General features: G+C 49.0%; 2 protein-coding genes across 4 annotated transcripts in view, besides 9 other annotated features; one reads left to right on the top strand and one right to left on the bottom strand.

Annotated features, from left to right (window-relative positions):
- PIK3C2B (phosphatidylinositol-4-phosphate 3-kinase catalytic subunit type 2 beta) overlaps positions 1-19,719 on the bottom strand; it is a 72,173-nt gene extending 52,454 nt beyond the window's left edge. For 2 of the 3 annotated variants that reach the window (NM_001377335.1, NM_002646.4), the window contains exons 1-3: positions 19,270-19,719; positions 14,982-15,664; positions 14,730-14,845 (exon numbers count right to left, since the gene is read on the bottom strand). The gene's annotated coding sequence lies outside the window, so the exon portion shown is untranslated. The remainder of the gene's footprint in view (positions 1-14,729; positions 14,846-14,981; positions 15,665-19,269) is intronic. The other variant, NM_001377334.1, reaches the window with a different exon arrangement.
- Positions 2,075-2,369: a silencer, noted in NCBI's record as "tiled region #6329; HepG2 Repressive non-DNase unmatched - State 10:DNaseD". NCBI's record gives its function as "represses a minimal TATA promoter and a strong SV40 promoter by Sharpr-MPRA in HepG2 cells {active_cell/tissue: HepG2}" and the evidence as "EXISTENCE:reporter gene assay evidence [ECO:0000049][PMID:27701403]".
- Positions 3,211-3,710: an enhancer, noted in NCBI's record as "H3K4me1 hESC enhancer chr1:204447425-204447924 (GRCh37/hg19 assembly coordinates)". NCBI's record gives its function as "activates a minimal SCP1, AML or CMV promoter by ChIP-STARR-seq in naive H9 embryonic stem cells {active_cell/tissue: H9 hESC(naive)}" and the evidence as "EXISTENCE:reporter gene assay evidence [ECO:0000049][PMID:30033119]".
- Positions 5,443-5,502: an enhancer, noted in NCBI's record as "active region_2366". NCBI's record gives its function as "activates an Ori minimal core promoter by ATAC-STARR-seq in GM12878 lymphoblastoid cells {active_cell/tissue: GM12878}" and the evidence as "EXISTENCE:reporter gene assay evidence [ECO:0000049][PMID:35858748]".
- Positions 6,403-7,402: an enhancer, noted in NCBI's record as "H3K27ac-H3K4me1 hESC enhancer chr1:204450617-204451616 (GRCh37/hg19 assembly coordinates)". NCBI's record gives its function as "activates a minimal SCP1, AML or CMV promoter by ChIP-STARR-seq in naive H9 embryonic stem cells {active_cell/tissue: H9 hESC(naive)}" and the evidence as "EXISTENCE:reporter gene assay evidence [ECO:0000049][PMID:30033119]".
- Positions 6,493-6,542: an enhancer, noted in NCBI's record as "active region_2367". NCBI's record gives its function as "activates an Ori minimal core promoter by ATAC-STARR-seq in GM12878 lymphoblastoid cells {active_cell/tissue: GM12878}" and the evidence as "EXISTENCE:reporter gene assay evidence [ECO:0000049][PMID:35858748]".
- Positions 16,665-20,646, top strand: LOC124904584 (translation initiation factor IF-2). Its single transcript, XM_047439554.1, has 2 exons — positions 16,665-16,675; positions 19,090-20,646. Exons 1-2 carry the CDS (start codon positions 16,665-16,667, stop codon positions 20,108-20,110), a joined length of 1,032 nt encoding a protein of 343 aa, XP_047295510.1. The 3' UTR covers positions 20,111-20,646.
- Positions 17,760-17,839: a silencer, noted in NCBI's record as "silent region_1725". NCBI's record gives its function as "represses an Ori minimal core promoter by ATAC-STARR-seq in GM12878 lymphoblastoid cells {active_cell/tissue: GM12878}" and the evidence as "EXISTENCE:reporter gene assay evidence [ECO:0000049][PMID:35858748]".
- Positions 18,909-19,098: an enhancer, noted in NCBI's record as "active region_2368". NCBI's record gives its function as "activates an Ori minimal core promoter by ATAC-STARR-seq in GM12878 lymphoblastoid cells {active_cell/tissue: GM12878}" and the evidence as "EXISTENCE:reporter gene assay evidence [ECO:0000049][PMID:35858748]".
- Positions 19,169-19,298: an enhancer, noted in NCBI's record as "active region_2369". NCBI's record gives its function as "activates an Ori minimal core promoter by ATAC-STARR-seq in GM12878 lymphoblastoid cells {active_cell/tissue: GM12878}" and the evidence as "EXISTENCE:reporter gene assay evidence [ECO:0000049][PMID:35858748]".
- Positions 19,399-19,868: a silencer, noted in NCBI's record as "silent region_1726". NCBI's record gives its function as "represses an Ori minimal core promoter by ATAC-STARR-seq in GM12878 lymphoblastoid cells {active_cell/tissue: GM12878}" and the evidence as "EXISTENCE:reporter gene assay evidence [ECO:0000049][PMID:35858748]".
- Positions 20,647-22,564: the final 1,918 nt, after the last annotated feature.

The following is a 22,564-nucleotide window of genomic DNA, read 5'->3' on the forward strand; positions in this document are numbered from 1 at the left end:
CTTCCCCCTACTAACCTTGGCCTCTTCAAGGCTTTTTCACAGAACATCCTGAGGGCTCTTCCTAAAATGTAAATCTGATCACCTCGCTTCCTGCCTAAGATATTTCAAAGGCTCTCTGATTTCTCTATAAGACTCTCTCCTGCCCTGCTCTCCCTCTCACCTCCAACCATTCATGACCACGTATGTGATACCTCCGTGACTTGGTTCAAATTGTTCCAATTTGCTATTTGCTATTGGCTCCCAATAGCAACCAGTGTATATCTCAAACACAGGCTTAAGATATTTTATTCAAAATTGACATGTTTATGGATCCATCACCCCTACTATGTTCCTCAAGTTCCAAATTCCCATCATTTCCACTGAGCTTGAACTGGAATGTCAGGGCAGAACCTTCTGGGAGGTGGGGAATTTTCAGACATGGAGATGGGTGGTCAGGATGTAGGTGGTGTGCTCCTTAGTATCCTTCAGACACAGGACTGGGTTTTGGAACTAACCAGGTTGGATTGGCATCTGTAAGGCAGGGGCAAGGATGGCAAGAAAACCACACACAGTCCCTTCCAGCTCTGGGATTCCTTGATTCCAACCTACTGATTCCTTAGGTCAAATCTCTCAGAGGACTCCAAAGTCACAGGAAAGAGAAGGAAAGGTCCCAGGGTGATCCAAGCAGGCACTGTTCCTGAAGCTCTTCCCAGACTGGAATTCAGACAGAGGAAAGGCGAGCTACCCCTCTCTAACCACCATCCTCCTGGCTCTGGGCCAGGCCACCACTAGACTGTCTCAGCCACACAGGGAAGGAAGCCCACCCCTCTGACAGATCTCATGCCCAGGGCCACACTGGCAATGCTCCTCCCAAAGGCTCAGCACTCAGCTCACTATGATGCTGAGAGGTGGCAGTGAGGAAATGGGACAAACAGCATCCCCCACAGGACCAAGAAGGCCACCCCCAAGGTGAAGCGAAGGTTCAGAGAGCAGCAGCCAGACACGAGGGAACTCCAGAGATGGAAACACAGGAGCAACCAGTCCCAGCGACCTTGAAACACAGCGACCTGGCTTCCTCTAAAAATTCAAGCCCTAGATTTCATTTTCCAGGACTAGAGGACACGCAGAAAGTATTTTAGGAATCAGGGTTTCATGTTTCCTGCCTCCCCACTTCCCCAATTCAGTTCTCTCTCTGTCAGGCTCTACATTAGAAATTGCTCTAGGGCCAGGCGTGGTGGCTCATGTCTGTAATCCCAAGGACTTTGGGAAGCCGAGGCGGGGGGATTGCTTGAGCCCAGGGTTCAAGACCATCCCTATGGGGGGAAAAAAAATTAGCTGGGTGTGGTGGCATGGACCTATAGTCCCAGCTACTGGGAAGGGTTAAGTGGATGGATCGTTTGGACCTGGGAGTTTGAGGCTACAGTGAGCCGTGATCGTGCCATTGCACTCCAGTCTGAGTGACAGAGACCCTGTCTCAAATTAAATTAAATTAAATTAAAATTTAAATTAAGATTGCTCCATTCCCTTAGTCTTCAAGGGCTACTAGGGATTCTGTATAAAAACAAATAGCCATGTCGGTCCCTTGAAAGAGGAAGGGTAGATCAGGGCCTGCGTCTCTGCTACTCTGCAGCCCATCCAGGGAGAGATGGCTGGGGCCAATGCCACTATGTCACACAACTCTAGGGGGCACCCCACACATTGTATTCTATGTGAATGATACCCCCGACCACAAAAATGAAAACCATGTGAATGGTGCCTCCTGGAGTTATACACCTTGGTGGTTCAGGCTGCGTTCTCTCCTAATGTCCACCTCTTAGAAAACAGATGGAAATCGTCCAGAAGGTCTGTTACAGCCAGTTTTCTTTCACCACCTGCCTGCAATAATTGTTAACATTTCTCCACATTTGCTCTCTTTCTTGCTCTGCTTTACCATTTAAAAGTAAGATGCCCTTTGCAAAGTGTTTGTAAGAAACACTTTGCCTCTAAAAACTTCAGCCTGAATCTCTAAGAGCAAGGGCATTCTCCTATGTAAAACACAATGCCATGAGCACACCCACAAAACTTAACATTGACAACAATAATATTATCTAATGCACACTCCACATTTGAGTGACCGCAATTGTCATCTGCGAAGCTTTAAAAATATACACATTCCCGACCTCTCCTCTGGAAGTTCTGACTCAGTAGGGTGAGTCCCTGGATGCTGGATGCTTCAGTAGCCCCTAAAGTGATTCAAATGTGCAGCCAGGTTTGACCCCACAGAAGAGGGTTTCAGAACTCTCAGGAAGACAAGAAGACCTGGGTAGAGGCACCCCAAAAAGCACCAGTCAGCTGAAGAAACAAGAGGACATGCCTATGGCCAAGCAGGTCGGTGCCAGGGTCTGAGCTGCACCAGGCACCAAACTCAGTCTCACAGCTGCCCACAGATGGCTGAGGGCTAGCCGGGGAGGAAATGGGGTCAGGACAGAGTGACACAATGGTTCAGAGTCAAAGGATGGAAAGAAAGGAGAGGGCACTCCCTCCAGTGGAGCTGGCTCTGTTTAGTCCCTGTGCCAGAGAGGGAGGAGCCCAGGGGCCACCACTGGAGCCAGTGGGTGGTGAGGGTTCCTGCTGTCTTGCTGGAAGGCACCCTAACAGAATTGTTCTCCTTGGGACTGGGAGAATCTAGAGGGGTCTGGGTCATCTCTTCCCCATACCCTGAGCCACAGATTGGATCCCAAAGGGTGTTGAGTACCAGCTACATGCCAGGCCAGGCACATACATATCTAAAGACTACAAGTATTCAGATGACTATGGCACAATTCCAGGGAGCTTACAATCTAGCAAAGGTGGCAGACACATACATAAAGAATTCAATCCCCTCTTGGGGTGTAAAGCAGGAAGCAAGAAGGTACTGCATGTCTTGGACCATCTTCAGTGGGCAGGGAAAATGGAAAGCTCTCAAGCAAGGCGGTGAAGAATATGCAGGGTTTCAAGCCCCCAGTCTTGGGCATCCTGATTTTCAGTAGATTTTACTAAGGGAAGAGACTCAGCTCTAGGACTTCCCCAGGAAGGGACCCTCAGCACTTCCCCTAAGGACAGGCAGGGTCAGGGAGTCAGAGGCCATTAGGACTTAAACCCTTTGGTGTCCAGGTTTTTCTCTTCAGAGAGGACCTCCACTTCTGTCCATCCCCCAGCACCCACACTCACCCATACCCCCAATCCCACCTCCTTTGCAGCCAGGGACCCTGCCTCGCATCTCACTCCACACACATGCCGCTGGCTCCAACTGCCCCTCCCACAGCCCGGCTCTAACAGGGAACATCAACACACTGCCAGGAATCCGACTCCTACAGCAGGGAGGTGTATTAAGGTCAAGCAAGCCGGCTCCCCCAGCCTCCAACAGATGTGCATCTGATCCCTGCTTCCTTATGGAAAACCCACAGGTTGTATACAGCTCTATAAGCTTTTTTGATGGCAGGTCTATTACAGAATCACATGCATCCATAAGGTCTTTCTCTTCTCTAGTGTGCGTGCCCTCTGGGTGCCTCTCATCTAGTTCCAAATGTGAGAAGACAAAATAACAGCTTGTGTTTTCTTCCCACTTATACATCCCCTCTCTAGTGACCTCTATAGCTAAACTAAAGCAGCCGCACATGGTCTGGCATTTCCTACCAGGACTTACTCTCCATTATTCTACTCTCTGGGCATACCATACCCTGGACTCTCCATTAATTTGAAGCCAAAGTGCACACAAGAGTTTAGTGGAAGTCTTTCTGGGTCCTAGACAATCAGAGGGACAGAAGCTTGGAGCCTGTGGGACACAGCTACATAAAGTCAGGTCTGCATGCACTGCTGACTCCAACTCAGAGACCCCGATTCTAGCTCAGAAACCATTTGGTCTCATGCACACACATAGAATCCTTGGAGATCATAGCTCCTGCTACATACCCTGTAGACTGTGGGCTCTGTGTTATGAGGAGACCAGGATGGAAGAGGTGAGGCAGCTTGTGGCTCCTCTAAAAACTTTCCTTCCTCTAGAGCTGGCAATTTTGATTGCAGGGTCAGGAACCAGAAGCTGGCAATCAACTGAATGGAACATTTGGCAAAGAAGGAAGAAAAGCTTTGGCAGTACGTGTATTTCTAACCCAGGAATCATCCCAGGAGCCAGAGCAGCCACATCTCTGTCTGGTTCCTACTTCCTGCTTCCTCCTCCCCTCTTCCCTCACCCAAGAACCAATCCTTCTCATCCAGTTCACCCCAGGTTCCAAGGGCATGGTAGTTATGAGGGACTCCTCCAGCTTTCTTGGCCTTCCAGAGAAAGGTAGGGGGACAGGGAAGGTCCCAGGATGACCTCCCCTGACCAACCTTGGCCTCCAGCTGAGGAGACCACCGAGGGAACTTCTTTACACACAACTTTCACACCAGCCCATCCTGTATCAGAAAAACAACCACAGAATTTCCAAAAAGCAACACCTAGGAAACCCTAAACGCTCTGAAAATACTGTAGATGCTGTGAAGTATAAACAAAGGTCCTCTGAAAGAGGACACAGAAAATGGGTGGAGTTAGAGACGAAGACACAGTAGCTCTCTTTAGGCCTGGCCTCCCCCATCTACCATCCTCCTCAGCTTTGCCTCGATACAGCATTTGCTTCCTATAAACTGAGGTCTTCTGCAAGGCCCAGATTGTCACCACTGTCACCTCCAGCCTCAGTTCAGCTTCCTTAGCTCATGCCCTTGGGAATCCAGTTCTGCAGGATTCATTCCTGTGTGGGTGGGGAAAACTCCCTGGAGGATGCCAGCCTGTTCAGCAGAGTCCATAAAGCAAGTCCCAGCTGTTCCCATCCAGCCAGGGCACCAAAGTGAGGAAACAACATAACAACAAGGCTCTGCTCTGCCTGGAGGGCTCATCAGAGAGAGGACAGGAGAGGCCACGGCAGAGGAGCTGCCTCCGCAGGTCTTCTGCACTGGGCTCGGCGGGGCCGGGCTAACCCATCCAGGTCTGCAAGGAGCAAGGAGGCAGTGTGGAGGCGTACTTCAAACGAGGGCCCAGCCCCATTCCAAGGGGATGAGGATGTACGTCGGGGTAACTGCAGAGGCACTGGACTGACCAGAGAGCACTGAATAATGCCAGTGAGACCATCCTCCAGAAGGAAGACATCCTTGCTGGGCTGACACTGGCTTTTTGAGCAAGCGTCTCCAATTTGTTCAATTATAATGATTGTTAGGGTGCTTTCTGGTAGCACCTTTCTCAGATGTCCAAAAGGTTCTCTCTGGTCTTGAAGACAGGGTCCTCCTTTCTGTCCCAGATGAGAGGGAGGACCACTCAGGCTAAGTGACTTTGTACTGTCTCTCCTACTGGAGCTGTTCCAGAGTTGGGAAAAGATTGTAGACCCGATGAAGGGAGGCTGGCATGGTGGGAATACTCAGAAACACTCTTGGCCCCAGCCCTGTGCTCTCCCCTGCAAGTATACACTCAGCACAGATATGCCAGAGCCCCAGTACCCAGAAGGATCACACACATAAGAGTAGAGGAGGCAGGGCCAGCAGCTCCCAGGTGGTGGTGCTGTCTGTGGGGAGGATGGGGGTGACTGCCTGTAAGCCTGGGTGCAGGAGCCAATGGGCAGGGCCAGGCTGTGTGGGTGGTGGGCTGCCGGCAGCTGACAGCCACCTGCTCAGCTCTGAGAAGGGCCAAAGGAAGTCAAGCAGAAAAAGGCAGAGCCAGCCATTCATGGGAACCGGCTAAGGCGCCGACCAGCCCCCGCGCCATGCTTCTTTCTTCCCTTGGGATAGGAAGGCTCTCCACCACGTGCCCACAGCCCAGCCCACTGTCCCTGTGCCATCGTGGTGTTCCTCAACCAGCAAGCTAGACTCAGAGTCTAATGATAAAGCAGGATATCTTCAGTTAATGCTAACTCCTCAAATATCAAGGCAATCCCTAATAGATTACAGTCACTCTTGGGGGCCTGAAGCCATAGGGATCACACAAACCATGTGTAACCCCCAACCCCTCCACATACTTTTCCCCCTGCACCCCACACACACATCTATGTCTCCCCGCTACATACACACCACACACCTCCCATGCTTATCCCATACCCCTCACACCCTCCCCATACACACCCTACTCTCCCCCGACACACACCCTCCTGCTCACTCACTCCCTCACCAGCTCTCCCAGAAGAGAAGAGAGGAAGCTGGCCTAGACCCATAAGGTCACATTCTTTTTTTTTTTTTTTTTTGAGACATAGTCTCGCTCTGTCGCCCAGGCTGAGTGCAGTGGCGTGATCTCCGCTCACTGCAACCTCCACCTCCCAGGTTGAAGCAATTCTCTGCCTCAGCTTCCTGAACCACAGGCACCCGCCACCATGCCCAGCTAATTTTTTGTATTTTTAGTAGACACGGGGTTTCATCATGTTAGCCAGGATGGTCTCGATCTCCTGACCTCATGATCCACCTGCCTGGGCCTCCCAAAGTGCTGGGATTACAGGCATGAGCCACCACGCCGAGGTCACATTCTTAGTGTCACTGGCAAAGAAGTCTGAGAAAAAAGGTTAAACCCAGAAGAAAAAGGAAAACAGGCCCTCTCAGCACCAGGGGGCAGCTCCGGCCCTTCCCCAAGCAGGCTGTTCTCTGCGTTCCAGCAGGCTGAGGGCACTCAGGCAAAGAGAATGCCACAGAAGGAGCCTCAGGCAGAAGAGCTTCACAAGAGCCCTCTCCCAAATGCCCCCAGGCCTTCTGGCAGGCCCCCCAGGGTGGCCGGTCATTCCCTAAATCAGGAAGGTGTAAAGAAGCCGTGGGGTCCCCACAGACCAGGGTAGGAAAGGAAAGGGACACCGGTTTTCAAGCAGTTCCAGTCTTTCAATCCAGAGAAAAACAGAAAAATGAAACACCCCTAAACATCTGATACTCACTTACACAGGGGTGTGAGAGGTCAAGGTGTTAGTCCCTCCCAGGGCCATTTGCATTAAAAAGCAGAATCTAAGGAGGGGAGCACCCAACCCAACAGGCCCTGGAAATGGTAAGACTTCTATTTTCCCAGGGAGGAATGAGCCATGAAAAGACGGGGGGGGGGGGGGGGGTGCTCTCTAATGTTAGGCCCCATAGCTCCATGGCCTCCCCCTGGTCTCTGCTCCTGAGTGTAGGAACCTCTTGCCCCTCTAGAGTACAGTCCCCACAATGCTGCCCACTGGGCAGCCTGCCCCTTTAAGGCACTGACCCCTCCAAACCCTGGCCTTGGCTATTCTTAGCCCAGGTTGATCCAGGTGGCCACGGTCCTCTGCCTACAGCCATGCAGTTCCCAAGCTGGGAGCCTCCATTCTTCCTGGTAGCAGGCCAGAAGGATATCCTGCTCCAGGGTCAGTCAAGGACACTGAACCCAGCCGGAAGACCAAGGATTCTACTTTAGCCAGGTCAAAGGAGAAACCCTACTCAGGATGCAACGCCTTAAGAGAGAACTGAAGGCTGGGTGCAGTGGCTCATGCCTGTAATCCCAGCACTTTGGGAGGCCGAGGTGGGCAGACTGAGGTCAGGAGTTCGAGACCAGCCTGGGCAACATGGTGAAACCCCGTCTCCACCAAAAATACAAAAATTAGCTGGTGTGGTGGTGGGTGCCTGTAACACCAGCTACTTGGGAGGCTGAGGCAGAAGAATCTCTTGAACCCAGGAAGCAGAGGCTGCAGTGAGCCGAGATCGCGCCACTGCACTGCACTCTGTCTCAAAAAAAAAAAAGAACTGAGAAACAAGATATTCTCCAAGATGCCTGTGGTGTCCCAGAATCCTCAAACCACAGGAAGAATATCTCGATGGGGGGAATGGGAAGAAGGCAGTGGTCCTGATGGTGCCAGACCACAGGGGATCCCAGAAGGACTGCCCATGTCAGCCTGGTCACCCCTAGACATGTTGCAGCCGTAGGTTTCAGTTTCCCCTTAGCCCTGCTCACCTGCACGTACAGCGTGGTATGGACTCCCCATCCCTATTTCCATTTGCACCTGACTCTTAGGGCCCCAAAGCCATGGCTACCACTGGGGGTGCCTTTCTCTTCCTCCTGCTTTCTCTCTCTCCTGCTTCCATCCGAATTCAAGATCCTCAGAAAGGCCAGGCACAGTGGCTCACAACTGCAATCCCAGCATTTTGGGAGGCCAAAGCAGGACGATCGCTTGAGCCCAGAAGTTTGAGGCCAGCCTGGGAAACATAGACTCCATCTTTACAAAAAACACAAAAATTAGCTGGGTGTGGTGGCATGTACCTGTAGTCCCAGCTACTTGGGAGGCTGAAATAGGAGGCTCAACTGAGCCATGATTGAGACACTGCACTCCAGCCTGGGTGACAGAGAACCCTGACTCAAAAAAAAAAAAAAACGATCTTCAGAAGCCTTCCCTGGTTAAGCCTTCCAATATCTCCTCACTTTTATTCTCAGTGTCTCCTTAATACCCTGATACTCTGTTTCACACTGATAAAAATGGTGGCCCTGTCGCCTGGGGAACAAGAGCAACGCTTTTGCTTTGGATATTAACTGACCATTTTTGCATCTCTGTGCATGGAATGGTTATGGGTCATGAAGATTTTGAAAAAAGAAAGTGACTTTAGCGAGGGGGAGGGGTATAGAGCAAAGAATCATGTCAATTAGTTTTGATGTTGCTTTGTACATGCCCTGATGCCTTTCTCCGATCTCTTATCCCCCCAGTTTGCACAGGAAGGTCCCAAGAGAGACAGATGTCCTTAAGACAGAACCTAAGTCTACACTAAGCAAAGGGTGAACCACTGGCACAGTATAGCATGCTCACATTCCACCAGCCCCTTGCCCATGTGACCCTCGCCCAGTGTCTCCCAGGGTAGCAACAGTCAGAGGTCATTCTCAGCAGGGATTCACTGACTGCTTAAGCTGGATGAGCGACCAGGGTGTGACCGTGTAAGCATCCGGCACCAACAGTCCATAGGAACTGTGTCGAAACACCTTTCCCGTGTATGTGCCATTTCAAGGTCTGTGAAACTAGTACAGCCCACTGTAGCAACGGGAGTGAGGGTGTTACACTTTGTGCTGGTGAAAGGGAAAGAGAAGGAAGGCAGAGAAGTGGGGAGACAGGAGGGAAGACTACATGCATATGAGCATCACAGAAATAGAAGGAAGGAAATATACCTTTTTTTCCCCCCTCTGGTATTTTGTGCCAGGTATTGTCTTATTTAGTCCTCACAACAATCCTTAAATGTGGATGTTATCATCCTTCTTTTATGGAAGAGGAAAGTAGAAAACAGGAAAGGGATGCAATAATTGGCCCAAAGGTCACACAACTTGTAAATGATAAAATCAAGAGTTAAACTGAAATGTGTGTGAGCCCAAACTTCATGGTCTTTTTCCCATCCTGTTGTGGAAACCCAGGCACATCACATTTGATTAAGTGTTTAAGCTGATGGCCGGGCGCGGTGGCTCACTCAATTCCAGCACTTTGGGAGGCCAAGGTGGGCGGATCACGAGGTCATGAGATCGAGACCATCCTGGCCAACATAGTGAAAGCCCGTCCCTACTAAAAATACTAAAAATTAGCTGGGCATGGTGGCGCATGTCTGTGGTCCCAGCTATTTGGGAGGCTGAGGCAGGAGAATCGCTTGAAACTGGGAGGTGGAAGTTGCAGTAAGCCAAGATCGTGCCACTGCACTCCAGCCTGGGCGACAAAGCGAGACTCCGTCTCAAAAAAAAAAAAGTGTTTAAGCTGATGTTGGTGATTATTCTAGAACACCTCCATGCTCTCCACACCCCCATCCCAGAACATTTCACTCTCCCAGGCCACTCAAAAAAATAAACATAAAAATAAACAAACAAGCAAAGCAAACAAACACACCCCACAGTTTGGTAGACAAGAGAACCAATGAGCAAGGGGCACTGTGTGAAGTCATATAGCTGGTCAGTGATAGAGGTGAGACCAGAAGTGGGAGTCCAGGTCCTTAGACTCCCTCTCCAGTGCTCTTCCCAGGCTGAGCTATAACCAGTCTTCCAGTCTTTTTTTTTTTTTTTTTAATTTTAAGAGACAAGGTCTCACTCTGCCATCCAGGTTGGAGTGAAGTGGTGTGATCACGGATCACTGCAGCCTTGACCTCCCAGTCTCAAGCAATCCTCCCACCCCGGTTTCACAAGTGGCTGGAATTACAGGGGTAAGCCACTGCACCCAGCTATCTCTCCCGTTCTTAGAATCCTTCAGGAAAGGAAATCCCCCAGCCTTCCTGTTCTAATCTCTCTTAAATTGGTCCATTCCTTTCCAAACCTCTGATGACTTTAAGTGAAATAACCTATATAAAGCATATATTGGGCACCAAAAAATTTGTTATTCCTTTCTTCTACCTGAATGATTATTCTTTTACCTGAAAAATTATTTTATTAGGCACCAAAAAAATTATTATTCCTTTTTCTCACCTGAATGATGAATGATTGAAACAGACCACTAACTAGTCTGTCTCCTTGCTGACCCCCTAAAGTATCTGCTCTCCACTGCCAGGATAATCTTCCTACAGGGCAGCTCTGATCATGTCATTCTTCCTTTTTTTTTTTTTTTGAGACAGGGTCTTGCTCTGTCGCCCAGACTGCAGTGCAGTGGCAGGATCTTGGCTCACTGCAACTTCCACCTCCCAGGCCCAAGCGATCTTCTCCCATCCTAGCCTCCTGAGAAGCTGGGACTACAGACGTGGTCGCCACCACAACTGGCTAATTTTTTGTCTTTTTGGTAGAGATGGGGTTTCACCACGTTGCCTAGGCTGATTGCAAACTCAAGCGATCTGCCTGCCCCGGCCTCCCAAAGTGCTAGGATTACAGCCGTGAGCCACTGCACCCTTTTATTCATGGGGGATGTGCGATGGCTGTAATATAAGAGCAGTGCCTGCACATCCCCCATGAATAAAAGTGACTTTGCTCTTTTGAATATTTTTATAATTTGTAATGTGCTCTACTGCATTTATGTGCATTCTGCTTTGGATTATCCCTACTAGTGACTAGAATAAAAATAATAGCTTTTATTTGTATAGGTATTTATAGCTACAAAGCACTTTTATAGACATTAGCCCACTAATCTTAAGAATAATGCTGGCCATGGTGGCTCACGCCTGTAATCCCAGCACTTTGGGAGGTCGAGGCGGGCGGATCACCAGAGGTCGGGAATTCCAGATCAGCCTGGCTAACATGGTGAAACCCTGTCTCTACTAAATATATAAAGTTAGCTGGGCATGGTGATGCGCGCCAGTAATCCCAGCTACTCAGGAGGCTGAGGCAGGAGAATCACTTGAACCCGGGAGGTGGAGGTTGCAGTGAGCTGGGATAGTGCCACTGCACTCCAGCCTGGGTGACAGAGTGAGACTCAGTCTCAAAAAAAAAAAAAAAAAGAAAACAAAACACAACAAAAAAAAAACGAATAAAGATGGCTGGGCACGGTGGCTCATGCCTGTAATTCCAGCATTTTGGGAGGCTGAGGCAGATGGATCACCTGAGGTAGGGAGTTCAAGACTGGCCTGGCCAACATGGTGAAACCTCATCTCTACAAAAATACAAAAAGTAGCCGGGCATGAAGGCAGGTGCCTGTAATCCCAGCTACTTGGGAGGCAGAGGTGGGAGAATCGCCTGATCCTGGAGGACAGAGGTTGCAATGACCCGAGATTGCGCCATTGCACTCCAGCCTGGACGACTGAGGGAGATTCCATCTCAAAAAAAGATTACCTCTTATTTATTTATTAACACAGTTACCAACACAACTTTTAAGTAACATCCTTCATTTTTTGTTTGGTTTTTTGTTTGTTTTTGAGATGGAGTCTCGCTCTGCTGCCCAGGCTGGAGTTCAGTGGCACAATCTCCGCTCACTGCAATCTCCACCTCCTGGATTCAAGCAATTATCCTGCCTCAGCCTCCAGAGTAGCTGGGATTACAGGCACATGCCACCAGGCCCAGTTAATCTTTGTATTTTCAGTAGAGACAGGGTTTCATTATGTTAGCCAGGCTGGTCTTGAACTCCTGACCTCAGGTGATTCACCCTTCTCAGCCTCCCAAAGTGCTGGTACAGGCGTGAGCCACTGCGCCCAGCCTCTATGTTTGTTTTTTAAAGAGACAGGGTTTCACTCTGTTGCCCAGGCTGGAGTGCAGTGGTGCAATCATAGCTTACTGTAACCTCAAACTCCCCAGGTCAAGTGATCCTCCCACCTCAGCCTCTCAAGTAGCTAGGACTACAGGTGCACACCACCATGTCTGGCTAATTTTTAAATTTTTGTATAGATAAATCTCGTTCCATTGCTCAAGATGAACATTCTTACTTTTATCATTTCAACATGTATCTACAAACATCTCATTACATACAAAACATTCTTTTCCACTAAGCCTTTAAACCGCATGGATTACCTCGTATTTATCTTTGTCTCCCCCAGGATACTTAGCACAATGTTTTACACGAAGTACATGCTCCAGTACAGAACTGTTAATACTGTGTTCTCAGCGTGGTCTGACCAACCCAGAGGAGAAGAGTTAACAGCTCCTCATCATAGGATCAGAGGTTTGGAGGCTGTTTGAAGGCAAAATTGTAATGTATTTTTCCAAGTAGACACCCCACAGCATTTATCAGATTCTTAAGTTTAGAGATCTCCAAAATAATAAACACCACAGTTCTAGTTTCTATAATCTCTAGGAAATGCTGCCTAAGACTATATATTAAGACGCTGGGAAATGCTGCCTAAGACTGTATATATATAACTCTTGGGGCACCTTATCACAATCGATTCATATTGAGCTTATAGGATTACCCCACTCCATGAAGAAACTCATCCATTTACCTGCATTTTGGGTGGGAGGGGGGTGCAATGTGGTTCCCTCAAGGTCAGGGACCACACTCAATTCAAGGTTGTATTCCTAGAATTTAGCACAAACCTGCTATTGAGGAATAATAATTACAAGAACCATGAGCTGTTGAGTCACCATTTACATGCATCAGGCACTGCTCTAAGTAGTTCATTAATTAACTCATTTCATTTTACAACAAATTTTGTCTGGTATTATTATTTCCCTCATCTTACGTATGAGGAAAGTGATGCACAGATAAGTTAAATAACTTTTCCAAGGTCATACAGCTTGTAAGTGGTGGAGCCAGGCTTTGAACCCAAGTAATCTGGCTCCAAAGCCGTGCTCTTAACCATCTGCCGAACTTGCACTGCCAGTCATTTGATAAATGAGTGAATAAATGTAAGAATGAATGAGAAGAGGCACTGAAGATGTTTTTGCTGAATGAACAATCAACCAATCATTAACCCACCTTTTGTCTCTACCCTGTATAATCTATAGGATTATCATGAGAGTCCTTCTCAAACTTTCCTTGCATTCAACTAGAGAATCTCTCCAAGTAATTCCCTATCTATCAGTATAGAATTCCTGTCAGTAACATTAAAAAGCTTGGTTTAATTCTTAGTGAACTACTCTTAGTGGACTAAGAACTATGAGTGAACTAAGTTTTCTCAGAACACCAAGCACTAGGCAAGGGTTTTACCTGTCCTCTTCACTGCTGTGCACGTAGAAGAGTGTCAGTGCACATTCAATGTACAATGGTGGAATGAATGCCCAAAAGATAAAATGCAAACTCCTTCAGTGGCTCTGGCGAGATTAAACTGCTTTCAGTTCACCTCATTCACCACACTCCATTCCCCATCCTGCCCCAATTCCTACTCATTGTTCAGATCTCTGCAAACACTTAATTTCCTCCAAGAAGTCTGACCATCAAAAAGGCCCCACTGATGAGTTCACAAGGCAACCCATATTTCCCCCACTCAATGACTTAAAAGTACCTAAAGTCACTAGTAAACAATCAAGATGTTAGTCAAATTAATGAATAAATGAATGAGTTCCTTTTTAACATGATCTGATAGACTTAAACCCTTGTGATCCTATTGTCTTCCAGAAATGACTTTAAGAACCACTTGTGTCATTACTGGCTCTTGGGGAAGCTCCATCTCATTCAGGACTCGAGCCTCATGAACATTTTTTTTCTCACAGTCCCCTTCAGCATAGCACAGAAGGAACACAGGTTCTAGAGGTTTCCTGACCTAGACTCAAATTTTGGCTCCTCTCAAGTTAATTGTACAAGCTCTTTATTATTATTATTATTTTCAGAGACAGGGTCTCACTCTGTCACCCAGGCTACAGTGAAACCTGGATGCAATCAGAGTGGTGCAATTATAGCTCACTGCAGCCTCAAACTCCTGGGCTCAAAAGATCCTCCCACTTCAGCCTCCTGAGTAGCTGAGACCACAAGTGTGCGCCATCACACCCTAATTGTTTTTATTTTTATTTTTAGTAGAGACAAGGTCTTGCTATGTTGCCCAGGCTGGTCTCAAACTCCTTGGCTCAAGTGATCATCCCATGTCAGTCTCCCAAGTGCTGAGATTACAGCATAAGCCACTATTCCTGGCCCCTATCTTTTAATTTAAAAAAAAAAAAAAATCTGCCTCCTTAAAGTCTAGAGTGAAAATCTAATATCTCTGGCTACAATGTTCCTCTCCCAGGATCCCAAAACAACCCATTTGCAAACCACCTCCCTTTTCTTGGTGAGAATTAAATCCACTCTACTGGTGCTCGCAGTCACAGCAATTTCTTTCACTCTCTGGGAGACACACAGCATGGCGAGTCAGGAATGGGACAAACACTCTGCTTTCAGAAAATGAGGGCTCTTAGGGAGACGTCAATAGTTGAAGGGCTCCATCATTACTACTATCTGGGCTTTGCTTAGTTTATTACCTGAGACAAAAAGAACTCATACCTGATTCTTCTACCTGGCAAGGCAAACTGTAGTTTTTCCTCAAAATGGAATCCTTTTGGCCCTCTACTCTTCTTCCCTCATCCTTATAACTTACGGTTTGCTGCAAAGGACGCCATCTAGTATGAGAGAAAGAGAGAAAGATGTGGCTGGAGAGAATGCTTCCACTCAAGCTTCTTCCTGGTGGGCTTGGCTTAGCGAGGCTTGAGGAATGAGCCACGTGTGTGAAACAACTCTCTAATATTAGGCACCCACCTCTATGGTGGAACAGTGGCAGGAGTGACACAGTCATGATGGAAGGATAACAGTTTCCAAAGAGGCAAACAATCTTTGGCTTCTCTGAAATACTGTGAAGCCTCTGCTAGGTGAGACTTCCTACAGAGAGTTCTCAGGAAGAGGAAGGAGTGAATTGCTAAGGCTTCCTTCAGCCACAGGTCTTATTTCTGCTTCAGGACTACAGTGAACCTCTCTCTTCTTCCTTCTCTATACCCTGAGGGCCTCTGCTCCCCAAAGCACAAATGTCTTCTGATTCTTTAGTCTCCTTAACCAGGGTGATGATTTGGGGTGAGTGAATTCCATCCCAATGTCCCAGTGTTTTGGGGAAGTAAATTTCCCAAAGACAAAGCCACTAATTGGGTCGGCACGAAACTCCAAAGTGTTGCAGGATAGGTCCTTTCACGGGTCATGTTGTGATCTGCGGGGTAGGCGTTCAGTTCCAGCATTGCTACTAACTGCATGACCTTGAGAAAGTCACTTTTTCTCAGGGAAGTGATGGCCCAGGTCCTTTCCAGTTTTGATACTCTATGTGATCTTACAAAATGCAAGAACAAGCTGGGAGAGGTGGCTCATGCCCGTAATCCCAACACTTTGGGAGGCCGAGGTGGGAGGATCACTTGAGACCAGAAGTTCGAGATCAGTCTAGGCAACATAGTGAAATCCTGTCTCAACAGAAAAAGAAAAAAAAAAAAGGCAAGAATAGTCCCTCAAGTTTCATTTTATAAAACAGATGCAAAATAAAGCAGATATGAAAATACCAAAACAAGAAATCTGCCTTAATTTCCCCAGGATCCTCCAAGTCCCAAACCTTCTATTAGTGTTGCTCAGAAGGCAGCAATATGACTTGATCAGATTATCCCACATCTCTTCCTTCCTTGGAAGGTAGACATAGAAATAAAAATGCATAGAAAAGCAGATGAGGCCCAGAAAAATTTATTATGCCTACATGCCCATGAGATGTCCCAGGCTGGTGACGTCTCATGGGCATTCAAGGAATCCATTAAGAATGAATTCTGAGGCTGGACATGGTGACTCACACCTGTAATCCTGGCCCTTTGGGAGGCTGAGGCAGGTGGATCACCTGAGGTCAGGAGTTCGAGACCAGCCTGGCCAACATGGTGAAACCCTGTCTCTACTAAAAATACAAAAAATTAGCCAGGCATGGTGGCACACGCCTATAATCCCAGCTACTCGGGAGGCTGAAGCACAAGAATCCCTTGAACCTGGGAGACGGAGGTTGCAGGGAGCTGAGATGACACCACTGCACTCCAGTCTGGGTGACAGGGTGAGACTCTGTCTCAAAAAAAAAAAATGAATTCTGAGGCTGGACATAGTGGCTCATGCCTATAATCCTAACCCTTTGGGAGGCCAAGGCAGGAGGTTCCTTTGAGGCCAGGAGTTTGAGACCAGCCTGGGCAACATACTGAGACCCCATCTCTACAAAAACTTAAAAAATTAGCCACATGTAGTGGTGCATGCCTATAGTCCAAGCTACTCAGGGTGGGGACTGAGGTCGAAGGATCACTTGAGCCCACTGCACTCCAGCCTAGGCAACAGGGAGAGACCCTGTCTCAAGAACAAACAAAAAGAATGAACTCCACAATTTTGCTGTCCCTTTCTGTTCTCCCAAGACCCAATATCTCTCTGAGTAGCACTGAGGCTATGAACACAGGGTAAGGAGTGAGACTGCTTGCTTCAAATCCCACCTCTATCATTTACTAGCTGGCTGACATCAGTGAGTGTTAGTGATTACATTACTTGCCAGCTCAGCATTATCCTCTCTATAGGCAGTAGCCAGCCTTTGGAAGGTGTTTATCCCTCCTCAATTCCTACAAATATCATGAGGCATCCTTTCCTTCTCTCCCAGTTCCCATCCTGCCAACACTATTTAAAGAAAAATACCCAAGGAATACAGCAGTTACCTTGGTATTGTCACACTACTCTTTCCTTAGCAAGAAAGAAAAGGTCCCAAAACATTCCCTACTCCATGTGGCCCTCAGATCCCACCCTATCCCCATCCCTCACAGATCTCCCTCCCTTATGTGGGAGGCTAAACCCAGTAAGAATAATCATTTGTAAAGTACTCTGTAGTTTTCAGGGTACTTTTGCACACATGATTCTGTTTAGTTCTTGGTAAGCAGCATTTCATTATTAATCCTGTGAGCCATGGCTACTCCCCCACCTCCATTTTACAAATATACAAACTAAATCTTAGGTCCACAAATTGTCTGTGCTCACATAGCTAAAAAGAAAGTCACACCAAGACACTGTTTTCTCTACTACTTCACATTATGATGTCCAAGTTCACATCCTGGGAACATGAGGAGCCTGAACCTTATAGCTAGTTACAAGCCCCTAAAAGGAACAGAGACCTCATTTTTCTACCCACTGGTCCAGGCCAGGGCCATCCCAGCTGAAGCACCACAGACATGATATAGATGCAAAGCACCAGGCACAGGAGGAGTGGGGACACCACCAAGCGGGGACCAAAGGCCCACGAGGGTATAGAGTATCTGCCAGAGCATACTAGGTCATGACAAAGACCAAAGGCATTCCAGACCACCAAGGAAGTCCAAAGGAGCTCCCCCAGAAACAGCCCAAGTCCCCAGATAAACTGACCCTTCCTCACCCAGCACACCCCCTTGGCCCTTTCTCACTCATGCTTCCAGTGGAGAAGGAAATAGACAAGCAGCCGGGTCTGAGAGCTTGATCAGATTCAGCCATACACACTCAGCAGTAAGCTCAGAGCCATGGCAATCAAACCTCAGGCTCACCCAAAGGCCAAAGGAGAAGCAGCCACAGCCTGGGTCTAGGGCTCCAGCTCAGAGCCACCATCTCTTCAGATGCTGGCTGCCAAGCAGAGCTATAAAATGTGCCTCGACTTAATTTTTCCATGGACACAACCTCAAGATGGGCCAGCCAGACTCTGGAGGAGCTGGGATTCCAAAGTCTCACTGCCTGTCTGCTCTGGGATCGGCAGCTGGAGTTGGGGAGAGGGAAGTATTTGGGGGTCGGCATTGCCACCTCCTGGGCCATTTCTCTTCCTAATATCTTCCCAAAGCCTGATGCAGCAACAGAGTAAGTTTTCATTCAGCACTGATTCAGGGTTGGAATTTAGTACAAATTGCTTACATCTGCCTGGCCATATCCCAAATAGGTAGTTTAGAGCAAGGAGGAGGGGCAGCATTGGCCCACTTCTTGGAGCCCGGGTAGCCGCCTGCTAAAGAATCTGGTGCCATGCTGGGACCAGCCAGCCCAGGGTACAAAACTCTCCAACAGAGTTGAGAAAAAACAGCCCAAGAGAGCTGCCAGAGACAATACAGCGATTCCATCCCAGGCATGATTGGAAGGGCTGGGGCAGGGAAGCTACGAAGACCCCAGAAGCGGGTGGAGAGGAGAAAAGGCAGGCCTGAAGGAGCAAGAGCAATGGCAGAAAACACACACACACACACACACACACACACACTTCAACATCAGCCAACTAGGGTGTGTGCACTAACCTCATACATTTGGTAACCTCTTCCCACAATCCAGAAGCCTGCCAAGCCCCTGGGCTCCCCACCCTACTCCACCCCACACCAGCTTGGCAGCCTTGCTTGTGCTTCCTGCTGCGATTGCTCCTCCAACATCAAAGTCACCGCTGTCGGGAGCTGAAAATGAGGGACAAGTATAGGCCAGGAGAGCAGCGCCTTCTCCCAGCACCGGCGAACTCAGGCCTGAGGGTCCCTCTCCCTCTTTCAAGCTTTCAGTCTCCTTTTGCTGCAGTATCCTTATAAGGGAGAATCCAATTCTACCCTCCGCCCGACTAAGAAACGTACACATTCCCCAGGCTAGATGCCGACTTCTCACCCAGTCCACAGAAGGCACTAACCCCATCACAGGACAGGTTTTGCTTTTTTTATTTCTTATCTTAAATAAACAAACCCCAAAGCCATTGACTGGTTCAGATCGCCCTGCAGCTGGGAGCCAGGAAGTGTGTTTAGCGAGAAGGGGGTGGGGACGCGGGTGCCTGGAGCCCCAGAGGCCCTGAAGCTGCTGGAGTGGAGTGGAGTGGGGTGAGGGGCAACCTGCTCTGCCCGGCGGGCAGGAGCTCAGGCTCCCACGGCGTCCGCCGCTCAGCCCGCCGCCAGGAACCCTCGGCTGCTTCCATTGTTGCACCTCCGCTGTTGCCATGTTGGAGGGAGAGCCCCCTGACCTCGGCTGCCTCCACTCTGGGGGCACTTTACAGACGCTGGGGCCGATGCAACCCGCAGGATGCGTGTCCTACCTGCGCTAGCTGCTGGCTCTGCTGCAACATCCGACGTGTCTTGTGCCTGGCGACGTGGGCTGCTCGCTCCGCGCCTCCCGGGCTCGCTCTGCGGCTCCAGGCGCCTCTTGCACCAGCGCGAGAGGAGCTGGCCGGCCGCACGCCGCCTGCTCCCGGGCCGCTCCCCTCTCCAGGCTCCGCACAGACCCTAGGCTCCAAGGGGCAGAGGGAGAGGCAGCAAAGGGCGCAAGGACCAGCTTGTGGGGGTGGGGAGGGGTGCTCTCCGCCGAGAGCGTGCGCGAGCTCGCAGAGTCAGGCCACCCCGGGTGAGACAATAGCGGCAGCAGCGGGCGAGAGAGGGGAAGCCATCTCCCGGACACCCGGCGCACTGCACGGCGACGCGACGCTCGGCCAGACCCTGCCTGGACAGGCAGGCACCCGGCCGCCGGCTCCAGCCGCAGCGCCGAATCCGCCGCGAGCCGGAGGGCGGGGCGGCTGCTGGAACCCGGGCCGCCCTTCGCCTCTCCCCTCCCCTTCCCCCTCCTCTTCTCTTCTCCTCTCCTCCTCTCCCCTCCGACTCCCGCCCCACTTGCCATTGCGTGGGGGAAGAGAAACGCGCTGGCGTCAAGTTGTGCTCTGCAACCCAAGAGCCAGGATTTCCACTCCCCACTTGGGTGAGGGTTTTTGCGGATGGTCGTTAGTTTCCCCTGCTGGAACCCCTTGGCTTTGGGTCAGAGGAAAGCTCAATCATTCTGCTAGAAATGACGGTGCTGAGGTCCAGTTATCCGTTTCAGGAATTTCTACCATAATTACGGTAGCGATGTTCGGGGGATCCCCTACCTTGAGGGTTAGGTTGGGGTAGAGAGAGGCTGTCTCCGGGCTTTACACGCTCAGTGTCATTCGTCTTTCTGTCTCCTTCCTTCCTCCCTTTCTGGAAGGGGAGTCTCGTTTGTTTTTGTATTCGCCCAGGTGGATCTTCCGAGCTGCGATCCAGGAAACAGCAGTCAACCTAAGTAGGGAGGGGAGATAGAGGATCCTCCAACCCAACTAGGGTAGTGAGAAAAAAAAGTAAAAAAAAAAAACCTTTCATACAATATGTTATATTTAAATTTTCTACTCTAAATACCTTTCTTCCAGCAGTGGTCTCTGGAAGAATTTTCCTAAAGGCTCCACCCAAAAGAAACCATGAGTTGGCCAGCTCCTCGTTTGCATTTGGTTTGCATAGTACCAACGATCACTAATCTCAAAGTATATTTTCCTAAAAACGTGAATCGTGTTTTCCTCCACTGCCCTCATTTCTTCTTTCTTTCTCGACAGACTATGAAGATTAACACCTGGTCCTCAGCCTCTCAAGTAAAACCATGATTAAATAAATTTGTTATGCTTTTCTCTGGTTAACTTGTCTTTTGTTATAGAAGTGTCGGCTGTGACTCTTATGATGGGGAGGAAAGGGATCACTCCCCTTTCTGATCCTACAGTGCCTTCTGTACCCAATGCTTGTGACTTTCAGTATTCCACTTCACCCTCTGAATATCAAGAATAGCGTCCTCACCTATCACGCTTTCGTAATGATCAAAGGAGAGAATGTAGGTGAAACATCTTGATAATTAACTGAAGGCAGCTTGGTCTGCACATATGTCATAATGTATATGATGCTACTCCTGATCTCAGGAGCCACAGGGGTTAAAAAACGTGTCCGTGCACTTCTTCACCATACAAATATTTATGACAGCTTACTCTGTGTCTGTCATCAGGTCAAGCTCAGGAGCCTGAGAGAACAGAGTGTTACAGGGGCCACTGGTGGTTCTTTTTTTTTTTTTTTTTTTTGAGACGGAGTCTTGCTCTGTCGCCCAGGCTGGAGTGCAGTGGCGTGATCTCGGCTCGCTGCAAGCTCTGCCTCCCGGGTTCACGCCATTCTTCTGGCCCAGCCTCCGGAGTAGCTGGGACTACAGGCGCCCGCCACTATGCCCAGCTAATTTTTTCTTTTTTTTTTTTTTTTTTTTTGTATTTTTAGTAGAGACAGGGTTTCACCGTGTTAGCCAGGATGGTCTCGATCTCCTGACCTTGTGTTCCACCCACCTCGGCCTCCCAAAGTGCTGGGATTACAGGCGTGAGCCACCGCGCCCGGCGACCACTGGTGGTTCTATGCTGCTGGGGTGAAAAGTCTGAAGGAAAGAACTAACAGGAAGTAGGCATAGGTAGCTGAGTGGAGGATCAGATCACAGGCTTTATCATGCATTTTGGTAAGGAAAAAATTGAATAAAGAGAAACCAGGGCATGCCAAAAAGTTTAGGTGCTGTAGGTGACAGAGAACCTGCTGTGCACAAATGGAACTGGGAAGTAGTGTGACCAGAAAAAGACTTCCTGGCATATTATAGAGAAGGATTTGGAAGATGCACTGCATGTCTTCCGTTTGCCCCTCCAGATCTTCCTGGCCCTCTGGCTTCCTAGACTGGGTTGGCCAATGGGGGCCATGGCTGAAGATTGAATAAGGAGGGAGGTCAGGGGAAACTGGATATTTATTCTTCAGGATTCCTCTCTTTGGGGTCACAGTGCGCTGGCTGCCACCCTCAACCAAAGATCACAGCTTCCACGGGTGGTTCTCTCTCCCCTCCCTCTCTCTTTTGTTTTTCTTTTTTTCTTTTTCTTGAGACCGAGTCTCACTCTATTGCCCAGGCTGGAGTGCAGTGGCTTACTGCAACCTCTGCCTCCCGGGTGCAAGCGATTCTCCTGCCTCAGCCTCCTGAGTAGCTGGGACTACAGGCGCATGCCACCATGCCCGGCCAAATTTTTTTTGTATTTTTAGTAGAGACAGGGTTTCACTTTGTTAGCCAGGATGGTCTCAATCTCCTGACCTCATGATCCACCCTCCTCAGCCTCCCAAAGTGCTGGGATTACAGGCGTGAGCCACAGTGCCAGCCCCCTCCCTCTCTCTTGATTCAGGTAATCACTCCCCTCCTTTGACTTTTCGGGCCTGGGGGTGGAAACATTGATTTGCTACTGGCCCTAGTAGATTGTACACTATTTCTTGTGGTTTTCCTGTACTCCGCCGACCCTTTATAAATTGTCCCCTTATTTTTTAACCTCTCCTCAAATTACCCCTCAAGTGCAGTGTGCCATTTGCTTTCTGCCAGGACCTAGTAACACAAGTCAGGAGTGCAGCCTGGGAGCTCAACAGAGAAACCATGGCTACGTTCCAGGTGGGAAATCAGGGAATCTCAAAACTGTGCCAGAGCTGTGGCAGTGGGGATGAAAAAAACGGAGCAGATACAAAAGATACTTATAAAGAGAAATCAATAGTATTTGATAAATATAT

Source organism: Homo sapiens, chromosome 1 (assembly GCF_000001405.40).
Source record: "Homo sapiens chromosome 1, GRCh38.p14 Primary Assembly".
NCBI classification, from domain to species: Eukaryota; Metazoa; Chordata; class Mammalia; order Primates; family Hominidae; genus Homo; species Homo sapiens.